The sequence below is a fragment of the Homo sapiens genome, chromosome 15 (genome assembly GCF_000001405.40).
Source record: "Homo sapiens chromosome 15, GRCh38.p14 Primary Assembly".
Lineage (NCBI taxonomy): Eukaryota > Metazoa > Chordata > Mammalia > Primates > Hominidae > Homo > Homo sapiens.
In genome coordinates this window covers 58257902-58273244 of record NC_000015.10, presented here as the reverse complement: position 1 = coordinate 58273244, position 15343 = coordinate 58257902, and the positions used below count along the sequence as shown (strand labels likewise).

General features: G+C 42.6%; 1 annotated feature.

Annotated features, from left to right (window-relative positions):
* Positions 2921-3215: an enhancer, noted in NCBI's record as "tiled region #5540; HepG2 Activating DNase unmatched - State 8:EnhW, and K562 Activating DNase matched - State 12:CtcfO". NCBI's record gives its function as "activates a minimal TATA promoter and a strong SV40 promoter by Sharpr-MPRA in HepG2 and K562 cells {active_cell/tissue: HepG2 | K562}" and the evidence as "EXISTENCE:reporter gene assay evidence [ECO:0000049][PMID:27701403]".

Genomic DNA, 15343 nt, shown 5'->3' with positions numbered 1-15343 from the left:
TCCTCTGGGTTATTGGCCTACTAATGTTTTGTTGTATGCCATTGTAGACATTTTTGAAAAGTTTAAAAAGTTTCCAGAATGTTATGTTTTAACGTAAGGAGTCCCTTCTTCCTCTCTTAGGCAGATAAGGCAAGGGGCTAATCACCTGAATCAAGTTATGCTTTGCGCTGGTCAGGGCTGGGTTGAAGTGTTTCTGAGACTGGCTCCATACTCCCAAGCTTTTGATTGAGAGCCTGACGGGTTTCTGCCTTTTCATCCCTGAAAACCTGCAGGAGATTCAGCTCCATCATTCCTCAGAAATCTGGTAAATATATTAAGAAAGAGGCTGGCTGTGTTTTTGAGGCGGGCCCACTCTCTGGGAGACTAATGGAGATTTCACTCTGCTTTTGGAAGCCCTTGGCCTAGCTCCTTGGCTTTCTGTGGGTTATGCAGGACTCAGTAAATGTTTCATGGGGAAAACCAGCCACATGTTTGGGGCTTGGGCATCTAGTGTCACATGACTGCCCAAATCCAGTAGATTTCCTCTGCATGGGCCAAGCCCAATCCTCAGTCCGCCCACAGAACTGGCAAAAAAAGAGGAGAAAGCTGCTGGCAATTTTCAGCTCATTCAACAGGGCTTTAAAAAAAAGTCTTTCCTCCTGCAAATCAGAATAATCTAGTCATCATTGCTTCCATTACTTGCTAATATCTTAAAAGTTGATTTTGTAATTTACCCGGGTTTTCTAGTTGTTGAAGTGAGAACCTGGGGCTGCCACTATCTACTGTATTCTGCCCAGGAGCAAAAGTTGACTACCGTAACAATTTAAAATATAAAACATGTATACTAAAAACATCTATAATTAGTCAATATCACTACTCTTCTTTTGACTACTATAAAAACTTTAGAGGAGTAACATTAACATTAAAGAATGTAGGAATGGCAAATATACAAGCAGCCACTACCCCTAGGACTGAGGCAGGTACACATCTGGAAAAGGGCCTTCTCCCAGGGTGAGAGTCACATTTTACTGAAGGTTGACGCCCCCTGCATGGTGGAGAAGTCTGCTTAGGCCCCACAGTCTGGGGCTGGTAGACAGGCAAACTCGCTGCTAGAATGCTGGCAACACTGCTAGCAGACCACCTATTAGACTGCCAGTGATGAACTTTCTTGAACCCACTCACTGTGTTGCTGTGGAAGTCACTGGGAAGCCACCTGCTGGGGTGCCCGTAGAACTTGCTGGAAGCTGTGCTAACTGCTAGGTAAGTGGCCCCTCACCTGCAAACCACCCACTGGCTGCCACAGGAGCCGGAAGAGTAAAGCAACAGAACCAGAAAGAGAAGCCCCTTCCTCCTGCTGGTCTTTCCAGGGCCCTGTACTGTCAAGGACTAACATTGCAACAGCTGGGGTCCAGCTCTACATCCCAAAGGAGGGCACAGAAGAATGGATTAAGAGCCAAGAGGAATACATTGATAATTGGCACAGATTTTCTTTTGCTCACCGTTGCTACTTGCACCCCATCCTTCCTGTGTTTATAGTTTGATTTCTGAAGTACATCCTTTAGCAATTATTTTAGCGCGGGTCACTGGATAAATTTTCTCAGCTTTGTCCATCCCAAATTGTCTTTATTTTACCCTCCTCCTTGAATAATAGTTTAGCTGGGTATTAAATTCTACACTGACTGGTCATTTTCCTAAGTACTACAAAAATATTATTTCATGTCTTCTGATCTTTGTGGCTCTTATTAAAATTTTTGCTCTTAGTTTAATTATTTGTAGGCAATCTGTCTCTTGTTGCTTTGAAGATTTTTTTTTTTTTTCTGGTCTGGAGTTTCCTATCAATGTTCCAGGTTTTTATCTTATTTGGGAGTCTGTGTTTCTTCCATCGGTGGAGTCATTTTCAGAAAATCTCTATCAATTCTGGAAAAATCTCTCCCATTAACTTTCCAAACATTGCCTTCCTAGTTCACTCTGTTTTGTCTTTCTGGAACTCCTATTATCTGCATTTCAATGCTTTTTATTCTTTTCTCTATGTATTTTATAGATATTTTTGTCTAACTTTCTGTGCTGAATTCTGTGCAGATTACTCAGTTCTTCTTGTCCACTATTTTCTCTACAGCTATGTTTAATCAGCTACTGAGCTCATTCTTTGAAGGCTTGTTTTTCATTTGTAAAAGTTTTATTTGGTTATTTTTCGAATCTGCCTGTTCTTGTCAAGTCTCTCCTTTTTCTACTAATTTACAAATTTTCTTTTAAGCGTATTTATAATCTTTTCTTTTGGATTGTTTTATTATCAGAAGTTACTTTAGTTCTAAGCCCATTCTAAATTCTTTATTCTAAGTACTTTAGTTCTAAGCCCATTTAGTTCTAAGCCTGGTTCTAAATTCATTATTGTATTTTACTGTATATTTGACAATACTTAAGGGTTGTTCCGTTGTGAGTTTTTAAATTTTGGATTGGATGTATATTCAGTATTTCGCTTTTTGGAGAATGCTATGCCACCTTGGTTGAGGAAGTAACCCTTCATAATGTTTTTGTGTTTACTCATGCTAGGTAATATAAATTTGTATCTTTAATAGCATAGGCCAGAGATTTTTGATGTCTCAGTGGTATCAGTCTGGGTCTAATCGGGAGACAGAAACCACACATAATAACTTAAATAAGTTAATTTACTATAAGGCATTATTAAGCTATGTTAACAGAGTAACTAAAATGATGTAAAGGGAATGCTACATTGAGACTCTAGGGCTGAGAGAGAATACCCAAGGAAGGGCACATTTGGATAGGATGGGGCCTTCTTGAGGCTGGGGTTCAAAACTCATTGGCAAAGATGTGGCTGCAGCTCACAGGAAGGAGAGGAGTTTACTGCGGCCCATCCGCAGTTGCTGGGCAAACAGGAAACACAAGGTGTAAAGTCTGGAGCATGGGAAGTCTGTGTCAGGAGGACCATGGAAAGGTGGTCACAGGACTGGCTGGAATGGTGAGGTCACCGAGGGACCGTGCAGAACACCACTGGATGTCCCCCTTCACCCACCCTGCTGACCAACCCTGCAGCAGGAGCAATAAAAAGCCAAACCCCTCACACAGAAACCAGGAAGAGAAGCCCTTTTCCTCCTGCAGTGTCCCTCCAGTGCCCTCTGCTGACAAGTATAGTATGATCCTTACTGTGAAGGAGAAAGGCTTACAGTGTTCAGACTGTGATCCCAGACCAGGTATTACAAGTTCAAAGCTGAGAGGCAATAAATTAATAAATGCCTCAATTTATCAATCCATCTGGATTGGTATATTTTCTTCTCCAGAATGTGAGCAAAGACACCCTTGATCTATTTGCCAGTAAATTGATTATTGTTAGTCCACCTTTCTCTGCAGGTGCCACCCTTTGAGAGTTCAGGTTTTAAGCAGCGGCCCTGTTCCCACTCCCTACCTCATGTGGACTCAAGGACTTCTTTCCTTTTCCCACGCGGGCATTAAAGCCGGCGCCCCTAGGAAACTGATGTCAATATCTTCTCATCCAATTTGGCAGCTGCTCATCACTTACTACTTTTCTTTTATGGTCTCTTTTCATTTTCATCACTTGGGAATTTCCCTTTCTTGGTTGTGAACGCAGCTGTGCATTAAAAACAAAGTGACACACATTATACCTAGCATTTCTAAGAGGTCTTAGAGGGAAGAGTTCAGTCTCCATTCCTCTGGCAGCTTAACAATACCTGTTCTTGTTCTCTCTTGCAAGTTTCTGGGCCAGATACCTTTTTTTTTCCTCTTTTTTTTTTTTTTTTTTTTTTTTTTTTCCAGAAAAGGTCTGGCTCTATCACCCAGGCTGGAGTGCAGTGGCACTATCTCAGCTCACTGCAACCTCTGCCTCCTGGGCTCAAGCAGTCCTCCCACCCCAGCCTCTTGAGTAGCTGGACTATAGGCATGCACCACCATGCCCAGATCATTTTTGTATTTTTTATGGAGACGGGGTTTTGCTATGTTGCCCAGGCTGTTATTGAACTTGTGAGTTCAAGCAATCACCTGCCTCAGCCTCCTAAAGTGCTGGAATTAGAGGAGTGAGCCGCCACGCCCAGCCTTGGGCCAGAAAACTTCTTGAGACATATGCTAGAAGATTTAAAATGTAAATAAAATAACCCTCACTGCGAGTTGCATTATTTTATTTTAGCATATCATCAGACCATGGCTGCTAGTTTAGGTGATTAATAGCTAGACTATCTCAAGCTTGGTGAAGTGGCTTGTACAGTGCTTGTCACCTGTAACTTTCATATGTGCATTTTTAAAACACTGCAGAGATGAATTTGTGGCAGCAAGAAGGGATTTTAATCTCCACCTGAGGGCTCTGCATACTTTGGTGGGTGTGTAACCAATTTCCATTTCATTAGTTATGTAAGATGTGACTTAACTCAATAACTGGATCCGACCCACATTTCTGATTTACTTCAGCAATGTATTAGCAAACATATAGGTTACGCTATGCATTGGCCTTACCCTTAGTTTAATTTTGGAGGTTGGTGTATTGTTTTACTGGGGAAACGTGTGCCCTAGAAATGTAAGGAGACTTTCCTCTGAGCTTCTGACACATTTTGCATACATCTAGACTATACTGCCTATCAATTGCAATGTAGTTTTTGTTTACTTGCTGACATTCCCTTCCAATTAGATCTTTGAGGATGAGATCTTTTTATCTGCCCCAGGGCCTCACACAGCTGCAGAAAGGAGATGATAATTAAATAATTTTTGAGTAAAGCACATTTTGCCTAGGATCATACAACTAGAAGTAACTCAGCATAACTTGTGTGTGCACCCACTATACTTCAGTACTTTAACTGCAGCAAAAGGCATGTGAGGGAATTATGGCTGGGTAGGTAAGCAGATTCCAGATCTTTGAATATTTCGTATACCATACTTGGATTTTTGAGTTCTCTTAAGGCCATGGGGAACCATTCAGGAGTTTCCATGTGAAGGGTGAGATGATGAGAAATGCATTTGTAAAGATCAATTTGTTGGTTTTATGTAGATCCTATAACCATTTAAATGGCTCTTATGAAATATTGGTGGAATGAGAATGAATACAAGAATGAATCAGGAGGTGCACCTTGGCTCTCCACAGTACACTTTGGTTCTATTGTCTGAGACAGAGTGCTAGCTGGGAGGTGTTTTGGACTGAACTGTGGCCTCTCCAAATTCATATGTTGAACTCCTAGCTCAGGACCTCAGCATGTGACAGTATTTGGAGATACCAAAGAGGTAATTAAGTTAACATGAGACCATTAGAGTGGGCCCTAATCCAATCTGATGGGTGTCCTAATAAGAAGAAAAGATTAGGACACAGAGAGAGACACCAGGGGTGAGCATGCATAGAGGGAGGAGCCTGTGAAGAGGCAGCAATAGGGCGGCCATCCACGAGCCAAAAAGAGCGGCCTCAGAGGAAACCAACCCTGCTGGCATCTTGATCTTGGACTTCCAGCCTCTAGAACTATGAAAGAAGAAATTTCTGTTTGTTGCCACCCAGTCTGCAATATTTTGTTATGGCAACCTTAGCAAACTAATAGAGATGGCTTTATAGGTTGGCCCAGTGTGGCCATCCCTACCTACTTTGGAGTAAAAGCTGTAGGAGTGATGGTAAAGAGCTTTTCCCACTGGAGGACTCAAGAGAGTTGGTAAAATGCAGTAGGAGGAGTTTCCATTAGGCATAAAAATACTTCCTCAGGTATAGAAGATGAAGTACTTCTATACCTGAGGGAGGGGGTGGCAAGGGAAACTGAAGTAAGGAAGCAAAGGCACACGTGGCAGTTGGGAAGCCCATGGGCACTGATGAAGGTAGGCAGTTCTTTTCTTTGCTACCCAGTGTTGAATTCTCCCCCTACTTGGGAGGAAAGAGAGTCTGTCATTGTGTGTTGCAAGGCAGAGCTGCCACCTCCTTTAAAGAAGCTCTTGGCAGAGGATGTCAGAAAGAATGGGCTGAGGCCCTAGGCTCAGCCAACTGGAGGTCCACACCCAGAACCCTCCACCTCACTGGAATAATCCACAGAAGATATGCCATCAGCTGAAAAATTCCTTACTGATGACTGCAACAAGGTGAGGCTCTTGCTAGCAGCAATGATACCAGAGGTGGTATCTCCAACAGAGGCCCCTTGCCGGTGGCCAGGCTTCCTCTCTCTCATCCTGCCCCCTACAAGACTGCATGTCCTGGCTTTCCCAGTCAGTTCTGTTGCTTGCAACCAGCAACCCTACAGATCCAGTGGTGAAGGGTGTTTTTTTTACCCCAGAATTTTGCAGAGTACTACTTGTTAAAGAAAGTCAGTTCTAATTAGAGCAACCCTCACTCAAGATTAGATAGGGGGTGAGAAGAGGTCGGAGAAGCTATTCAGTATAAGATTATATTTATATAGGAGGAGAGCGGGGGTGAGAACAAAGACAGGCAGATGCAAAGATGACATGAAACAAATTAAAATGTCTTATGCGATCAGTTAGAATACCTCAGTAAAATTGACACAAGATTTTTGTGACTTTTTTCTTTTAAATTTATTTTAACAATTCTTTTGAAGAGAGCTACTGATTAAATATTAATTCTGTTCTTAGTTGAGTGTTCTGATTATGTAGAAATAGTTTCCTATGGACTAGAAAAGTTGAGCATACTTTTCATGGTTCTTTGCATCTCATAAGCTTTCCTAAGTGGAAGAAGCCTGATTTTATTATCAATTAGAATCTTGAGTTCCAAATAATCGTTGTGGTTAAAGCACTGGACTGGAGTCAGGAGTTTTTAGCTGTGAAAACTCAGTTTCACTCCATTCTAGTATGGAATCTGGAAAAAATGATCTCAAAAGCTTCCCACAGCCCCAAAATTTTGATTCTACCTTAAACTATTAGGAACTTATTAGGGCATTTTAAACTTGCAGAAAAGTTTAGAAAATTGAGTAATAGACATAAATGTATCTATTATTTAGCTTTAATGTAACAGTTTGCAGTATTTGCTTCTGATTTTTCTTTTAGTTTTTAAAAAATTTCCATTCAATCAAAATTGGCTTTTTTTGGTGTACAGTCCTATGAATTAAAACATTTTTTATTGTGGTAAAATGTACATGAAAGTTTCCCAAGTTAACCATTTTTAAGTGTCCAATTCATGCTAAGTGCATACACATTGTCGTACAACCACTACCACTATACATTTCTAGAATCTTTTCATCTTCTCAAACTGAAACTCCATATCCATTATGTAATGAGTCCCTTCCCTCAGTCCCTGGCAACCATCCATTCTACTTTTCTTTGTGAAATTTAGTCCTGTGAATTTTTTTTTTTTTTTTTGAGACGGAGTCTTGCACTGTTACCCAGGCTGGAGTGCAGTGGCGCTATCTCAGCTCACTGTAAGCTCCACCTCCCGGGTTCACGCCATTCTCCTGCCTCAGCCTCCCAAGTAGCTGGGACTACAGGCGCCCACCACCACGCCCGGCTAATTTTTTGTATTTTTAGCAGAGACGGGGTTTCATCATGTTAGCCAGGATGGTCTCGATCTCCTGACCTCGTGATCCGCCTGCCTCGGCCTCCCAAAGTGCTGGGATTACAGGCGTGAGCCTTTGAGCATGGCCAGTCCTGTGAATTTTAATGCACGTGTAGATTTGCGTTACCATCACCACAGCTGGGATACAGAAGAACCCCACCACCCTGGTGGACTATCCCTTTGTAGTCCCATCTTCCTCCTGACAACCACTAATCTATTCTTCATCACTATAATTTTGTCTTTTCATAAATGTCATAAATGGAGTAATAAATTATGTGACCTTTTACTACCAGTTTCTTACACACAGCACGATGCCTTCAGATCCACCCAAGTTGTGCAGTGCGGGTACCCACGGTTTGTTCCCATTTATTCTTCCCTGTGCACCTCTCTTCAACCCCACTCCTCTTCCTCCCTTGCCAAAGGGAACCCCTGCCCCGAAGTCAGTGTGTTAGAATCTCATGAATATTTTAATAGTTTTAGCTGCAAAACAATATATGGTTTTTGGTTCCTAGTGTTTAAAATGTAAATAAATGGCATCATAACATACAAACCATGCTGTAAAATGTTTCTATAACTCAGCATTATGTTTTTGAGGGATATCCACTTTGGTGCCATGTTAATGCTGGGTTACAAATCTTCATCACTCTATAACATTCTGTTATATGAGTACATCATGTATTCATCCGTTTGCCTGTGGAGGAACATGTTTTTTCCCTGTCTGTCTCTCTGTCCCATTACCTCACTCTGAATAGCAGTATTTGGCTCCCTCCTAAACCCCACTCCCTTCCCCAGGGCCTCCAGTCCCTAAGCAGGCCTTGCTGATGTTCAGAAGTACCCACAATGGGGGCAAATCCCAAATCTCATCTTCAAGCTGGCTGCTTGCTTGGCTGAGTACCTGGGCAGAGCCTTTGTCTGGATCCGTTGACCCCTAAGCCCAAGGTGTTAATTAACATCAATCCTGGATGTATGTTGCAATCTCCAAAGGAGTCCTTTAAACAGGAAAGAGGGAGAGGGGGAGAGAGTAGGAGGGGAAGAGAGAGGAGTAAAGGGAGAAGAGGGAGAGAGATTAGGAGGGGAAGAGAGAGGAGTAAAGGGAGAAGAGGGAGAAGGAGGGAAGGGACTGGGAAACGGGGAGGGAAAGGAGAGAGAGAGGGAGAAAGAATTAAAGAAATTAAGTCAGAATTTCTGGGCAGTGGTATTTTTCTAAAAACTTATCAAGTTAAAGATGCAGCCAGGGTAACAAACCCTTGATTAAAACAAAACAATGTTCCAGGCAGCATTTTCTAGCTTTCCAGAAGGTTTGGGAGCCCCAAACCCTGACTTTCCACTCCCTCCATCCCTACCCCTTTTAGCCCTTACAGCCTTGTGGGAGCCACCATCTGAGCTTTCAGAACCAGGCACCAAAGCCCTGGCCTCAGTCCAGCTCCTGGTGGGCTTTCTTGTCATTTGTAGTACACAGGGATGTTTATCTGGTTTCTGAGTCTCACTACAGTGTATAAGTCTTCTCCATTTGTTCTTTATCTGATATGTCTATATGTTGGAGCAAAGATGTTATCTGAGGGCATGAACTTACAGAAATGTTTCCTGTCTCACTTTTGAATGCATACTTTATTCGCTGAAGGACTGCTATTGTACCTTCAAAGGAACTTACGATGCCACCTTATAAAATACCTTCTTTTTGTATTTTGCCTTTTTTAAATGAAAAGGTATTGCTTTTTCTCATTTTAGAAATAATTCATGCTTGCAGTAAAAAGTTCAAACGCTATGGAAATGTATGACTTAGAAAATGAAAGAAAGTGTTCCGTAATCATGCCCCCGCAGATGATTACCACAAATAATTTTGAGCCTATTTTTCCATATGTTTACCATACACATACTAACTTTACAAAAATAAAAATGAAATTACATTGGAGAACTGTAGGGCCAATTGATTTCTGCAGTTAGTGTATCATGGAAAGTTTTCAGTACTTACATAACTTATTTCATTATTTTTAATGGACACATGGTGTTCCTTTGTCTGGTTGTACTGAGGTGCATTTACTGAGGGCCATTTGGGATGTTTTGGTTTTGGCATCATAGATGATGCTGAAATAAACTTTTCTTATGTACATCTCTGTGTATTTATGTAAGGTCAAAAACTGCTTTATCTCTTGGAACAGAAGTGAATGCATTTGCAGGGGAAAGGATAGAGCGGAGGGAGGCTGGTGCCCTTCTCAGCAGTCAGAAGGCAGTAGATGCTTGGGGCTACTTTAGATACTTGGCCCTAGGAGAATATATCTCCTGAGTCTCAAAACTCTCAATGCCGTGCATACCATGACAGATTCCCTTCACTCCACCCTGTCCTGAACCTTTTGGATTGCAGTACACCAGTCTCCAGAAGGTTAACTTGGAAAGGTTAGGGAAGTGTAGGTTTTTGTTTGTTTGTTTGTTTTATCCCTAGATTGCTTATAAAGTGTAGTATTTTTCAAATTGCAGAGCTGTGACCCATTCATGGATTATGAAATAAAATTAGAGGGTTACAAACAAGCAATTAAAAAATAGGGGACAGAGCGAGACTCTGTCTCAAACAAAACAAAACAAAACAAAAAAGAATAGTACAGAAAATAAGAGTGCATGACATGAAGTAAGTGTAAGTACTGTTTACTCAAAATTTTATTTCAGGTGTGTGTGTATACGTGTATCTGTGTGTGTGTCTTAAGTCAGTTTCCCTAGAAGCAGAGCTCAACAAAACAGATCTGGGTGTGTGTGATCTGGAAAAGTGAGGGGGACCAGCTGGGGCAGGAGAAGGAGCTGAACGAGAGTGTGTGCTCCCAGCGTGATTTCTGGGGCTCTGATGCTTGAGTTGTTCCACAGACCTGGTGCTGCCTTAGGGAAGGGGCCAGACTGTGAACTCCCAGGTCCACCATCAGCTGTGGGCTGTGGGCTGATCTGAAGAGGAGGGGTGCGTAACCTGGAAAGTCAGCTCCTATTCTGCAAGGACAGTTCTCCAGAGGATGAGGCCTCTGTGATCTTCACCCACTGGGGATGGGTGCCCCAGCCTGAATGAGGTTGCCAGTGGTGTCCATTACTGGACGTGACAGACAATGTATTCCTTCTTAGTGTGGGTCATGGCAAAAAAATATTGGAGAAACAGTGGATCTGAAGAACTTAGTCTATCAACCTGTGGTAAAGAAAATGAGGCCTTATCACCATCTTTTCCTGATTTCATTAGACAAAGTCAAGTTCCATATATAATTGGAATTTTGTCCCCATCAGAGAAAAAGAGTCACCATAATTCCTGAATGAATCCCGAGTGGGAAAGAAATGCAGAAGAGGTTCTTAATAAGTTAAGCTTAAGCCTTAAGGCCCAGGAGATATCTCAGGAGGCTTAGCGCCTCTCCTGGCTTGGAGCAAACCACCCTGGAGGTGAGGTAGGTGGGATCTTAGGGGACCTTGAACCCCACAAGAAGCATGACACGTGTTCAGGGAGCATGAATTTTACTCAGCTAAATATTTTAAAACTTGGTGGTTTTTTTTACGACCATGAATATAAGATGCAACAGAATGTGAAATTCACATGAACTTTTTAAGATGAAGAATAAAATTACAAAGAGATTTCAGATTATAGGTTGCCATTTTGGACTATTCTCCTAGGCTTTCAGAGGTTCTTATTCATTTGCTTCTGCAGTTAGGCAGTCAAGGAGAAAATTAAGAAAAGCAGTAGTTAGAGTCATTATTTTTCTCCTTTTAGGAGAGTCCAGTTAACTTGGTAAGCTGGGCTCTGAATCCTCCAGGCTCTGAACAGATGACATTCATCCAATAGACAGTCTTGATAACCAATCCTAAAATATCAGAACCATCTGGTCAGTCAAGAGATGGTTATTAAGCACCAGTGAGGTGCTAGCACTGGGGTTAAAATGATGAAGAAGACAGACCATCCTGCTCTGATGGGCCGTTCTGGTCAGGGGAGACAGGCAAAACCAAATAAATAATGTGGTAGTCGTTAGAACTGCGCACCAAACCTTTGGGCTTTCTGGGTTGAGTTAACTCATGCCATCTTTGCTGGCATGAGTTAGGAGGACACATCACTGAGGCCCTCCGGGATGGACCCTTGACCAGTTCTGGCCAATGAGTGGTGAGTGGAAGTGTGGTGCCCTTCTGGGCTGAGCAGTTTGTGCAATGCTCTCTAAAGCTTTCTTTTCCCTCTGGCACCACGACCAGGGCAGTGCTCCATACAGTCGCTGCCCATCAGCCTGGTCCCTGAGCCGAGCCTCCTAGCCAGCCCACAAAGCACGTGTGGTGTGAAAAAGCTAGAAACTTTTACTGTTTAAGCTCCTGAGATTTGAGGGTTGTTTATGATTGCACTTTAATGTACACCACCTTGCCTGATATAAACCAACAAATAAAAATAAGTTCTGATAACTGCTATGAATAAAATGAACAGGTTGCTAATAGCACATGACAGAGGGTGGCCTACAGGGTCAGGAAATGCTTCTGTGAAGACATGAAATGTAAGTTGGGACCTAATCCATCCAGGTCATGGGCATTTCCATCATTGTTGTGCTCTATTACTGAGAGGAGTGAAGTAGCCCTTGAGTCATAGAACCAGGACAGGCAGGAAATAGGAGACATAAACTTGCTCAAGGGTACGCAGCTAATTGCTGGCAAAGCTGGTGCTCTAACAGCAGCATCTGGGCTTGGGTCCAGGCCCTTGTCTCTTGGGCTGCCCCAAAGGCAAGTGAGGTGTCTAGGGTGCAACACTGAAAGAGACACGCTGTCTGTGCCTACCCTGCTTTTGCATGACCTGAGAGTTGGTGCCTCACTATATGTTGCACCCTGGAGACTCATTCTTAAACAGGCACTCATCCTCAGGGTCACACAAGGGTGAGGAGGATACTGAAAGGGTGCCTCCTTAAATATTGTACCCTAAGCATCCTGCTGGCATCACCCCAGTCCCAGCTCTGTCCACACCATTGTTGTTAGTGACAATAACAAACAGGCACACAACATTCAGGTGACTGTGGCTGTGTCCTTGGCATTCTGGGTGTGTCTGCTGATCTGATCTGAAAATAGCACTACCCTTATTGAGATCCTGTGACAGACACAGCACAGCACTTCAAGACAGCAAAGTGCAGTTTTTGATCTGCCAAAAATTGGCTTTCCAAAGCCATTGGTGGGCAACCAAGTAAGGAGACGAGGGAGTGAGTTTCAGGAGTTTTAGGAAGATGGGGACTGGCCTGTGCCCATCTTTCCCCTTGGCAGGGTAAAAGCCATTCATCTACTCTGAAAAGGGTGCTTTCAGTTGCAGGGAAGGAATTTAATGAAATGCATTCCCAAAAGGTGTCGATGACTAACAGCACCCTCTTTCCTGGAAGCCGGTTTGGTAAACAATAGGAGAGGCCAGCAGATGGTCTTTATGGAGCAGCTCCTGTATGCGGACACTGGGCTGGTGCTTCATAAACGTTGAATCTCATTTATGTCCTCTGGCACGATGAGGTTGGTGGTTAGTTTTATTATCACCACTGTATTAGTCCATTTTCATGCTGCTGATAAAGACATACCTGAGACTAGGAAGAAAAAGAGGTTTAACTGGACTTACAGTTCCACGTAGCTGGGGAGGCCTCAGAATCATGGTGGGAGGCGAAAGGTGCCTCTCTCACGGTGGTGGCAAGAGAAAAATGAAGAGGAAGCAAAAGCGGAAATCCCTGATAAACGCATCAGATCTCGTGAGACTTACTCACTATTACGAGAATAGCATGGGAAAGACCGGCCCCCGTAATTCAATTACCTCCCCCTAGGTCCCTCTCACAACATGTGGGAATTCTGGGAGATACAATTCAAGTTAAGATTTGAATGGGGACACAGCCAAAACATACTACCCACTTTACAGAGGAAGAACCTATCTCTCTGGGTCTAAATAACTCACCATTTAAACAATTGTGTCTAACTCTTACCCACTTGAGGACAGTGGGCACAGAAAGGGTGAAAACACCTGACTGGTGGCCAGAAGTGCTAACCTGGAGGAGAGGAAAGAGAGCAGAAGAGAAACAAAGCCGCTTACATTACAAGGTTGTCAACCCAGGGTGACTTTACCCTGACTGGGGTAAAATTTACCAACTCTACCACCTCCTGGACCATTGTTGGTAGGAATTTTCTGCCAAGCTTGGTGAATAAGTGGGTGTGTTTTCAACAAAAAACCAATGTTTGTATAAATTTTCCGAGGCATGGGAAGTCTCCATTTTGTCACAATCTTATTTCATTCCTTTTTACCAAGGTAGAATTTATAAATCATGGAACTCACCCGTTGTAAATGGATGATTTGTAAATTTATAAATTTACAAATTTATAAATTTATACAGCTGTATATTTGTAAATTTATACAGCTGTACAGCTGTCACCACTGCTTTGCTCCAAAAATTCCCCATGATGCCTCACACTCCCTTTCCTACCTGCCCCTCCCCTACCCCTCCCCACCCCCACTTCAGCCAATTTCTGCTTTCTGTATCTATAATTTTGCAGTTGGTAGACATTTCTTATAATGGAATCACATATGTAGCCTTTTATGTTTGGTTCCCTCACACAGCGTAATGTTTCTGAGTTTCGACTATGTTGTTGCTGAGTTCCATTCTGTGGATACACCACGTGCTATGGTTTGAATGTTTGTTGTCTCCTTTGAAATTCATGTTGAAACTTGATCCCCCACGCAACAGTATTAAGAAATTGAGCCTTCAGGAGGTGATTAAGCCATAAGGGCAGAGCCGTCATGGTTGGGATTAGTACCTTATGAAAGGGCTGGAGGGAACTAGGTAGGGATCTTTTGTTTTTTTGTTCCTTCCGCCATGTGAAGACACAGCATTACTGCCATCCAGAAGTCACAATGACAAGGTGCCAGCTTAGAAGTAGAGATTGAGCCCTCATCAGACACCAAATACCATCATCTTGGTCTTGGACTTCCAGACTCCAGAACTGTGAGAAATAAATTTCTGTTGTTTATACATTACTCAGTGTCAGGTGTTTTGTTATAGAAGCACAAATGGACTAAAACACCACACTTTTAAATCCCTTCACTAGTTGATGGACATTTGGATTACTTCCAGAGTTGAACTATTATGCCTAATGCTGCTGTGAACATTCATGTACAAATCATGTACAAATACAAACATGTTTTTATTTCTCTTGGGTACATACCTAGGAATGGAATTGTGGGTTGTGTGGTGGGTGTATATTTAACTTTGTAAGAAAGTGTCAAACTTTTTCCAAAGACACTGCAACTGTTTCACATTCCCACAGTGCGTATGAACGTTCCAGTTTTTCCACATCCTTGTAAACACTTGGTACCATCGGACTTCTTGGTTATAGACATTTAGTGGATGGTATCTCACTGTGGTTTTAATTTGCACTTCCCTAGAGTCTACTGGTGTTGAACATCTTTTCACATTTTTATTAGCCATTCATACATCTTTGGTAAAATATTTATTCAAATCTTGACTCATTATTAAATTTTAAGATTCTTTTTTGTTTGTTTGTTTCTGAGACGGAGTCTTGCTCTTTCTTCCAGGCTGGAGTGCAGTGACATGATTTTGACTCACTGCAACCTCTGCCTCTCAGGTTCAAGCGATTCTTGTGCCTCAGATTCCCAAGTAGCTAGGATTACAGGTGTGTACTATCATGCCCGGCTAATTTTGTATTTTTGATGTTTCAGCCAGATGCTTCTTGTCAGCGCAGGTCCACTGTGTCTGCTCCTTGACTCAGTGGAAGCAGTTGCCCAGCACTAGCCTTCATACACTTGGAAGCAGCTGAGCCCATATCATCCCCGTTTCTAAATAGCTTTGGCTCCTTTTGCGCCTGGAGGCTGTCTCTGCCCCTTTCAGTGCTTGCACTGCTTCCTGACACTAA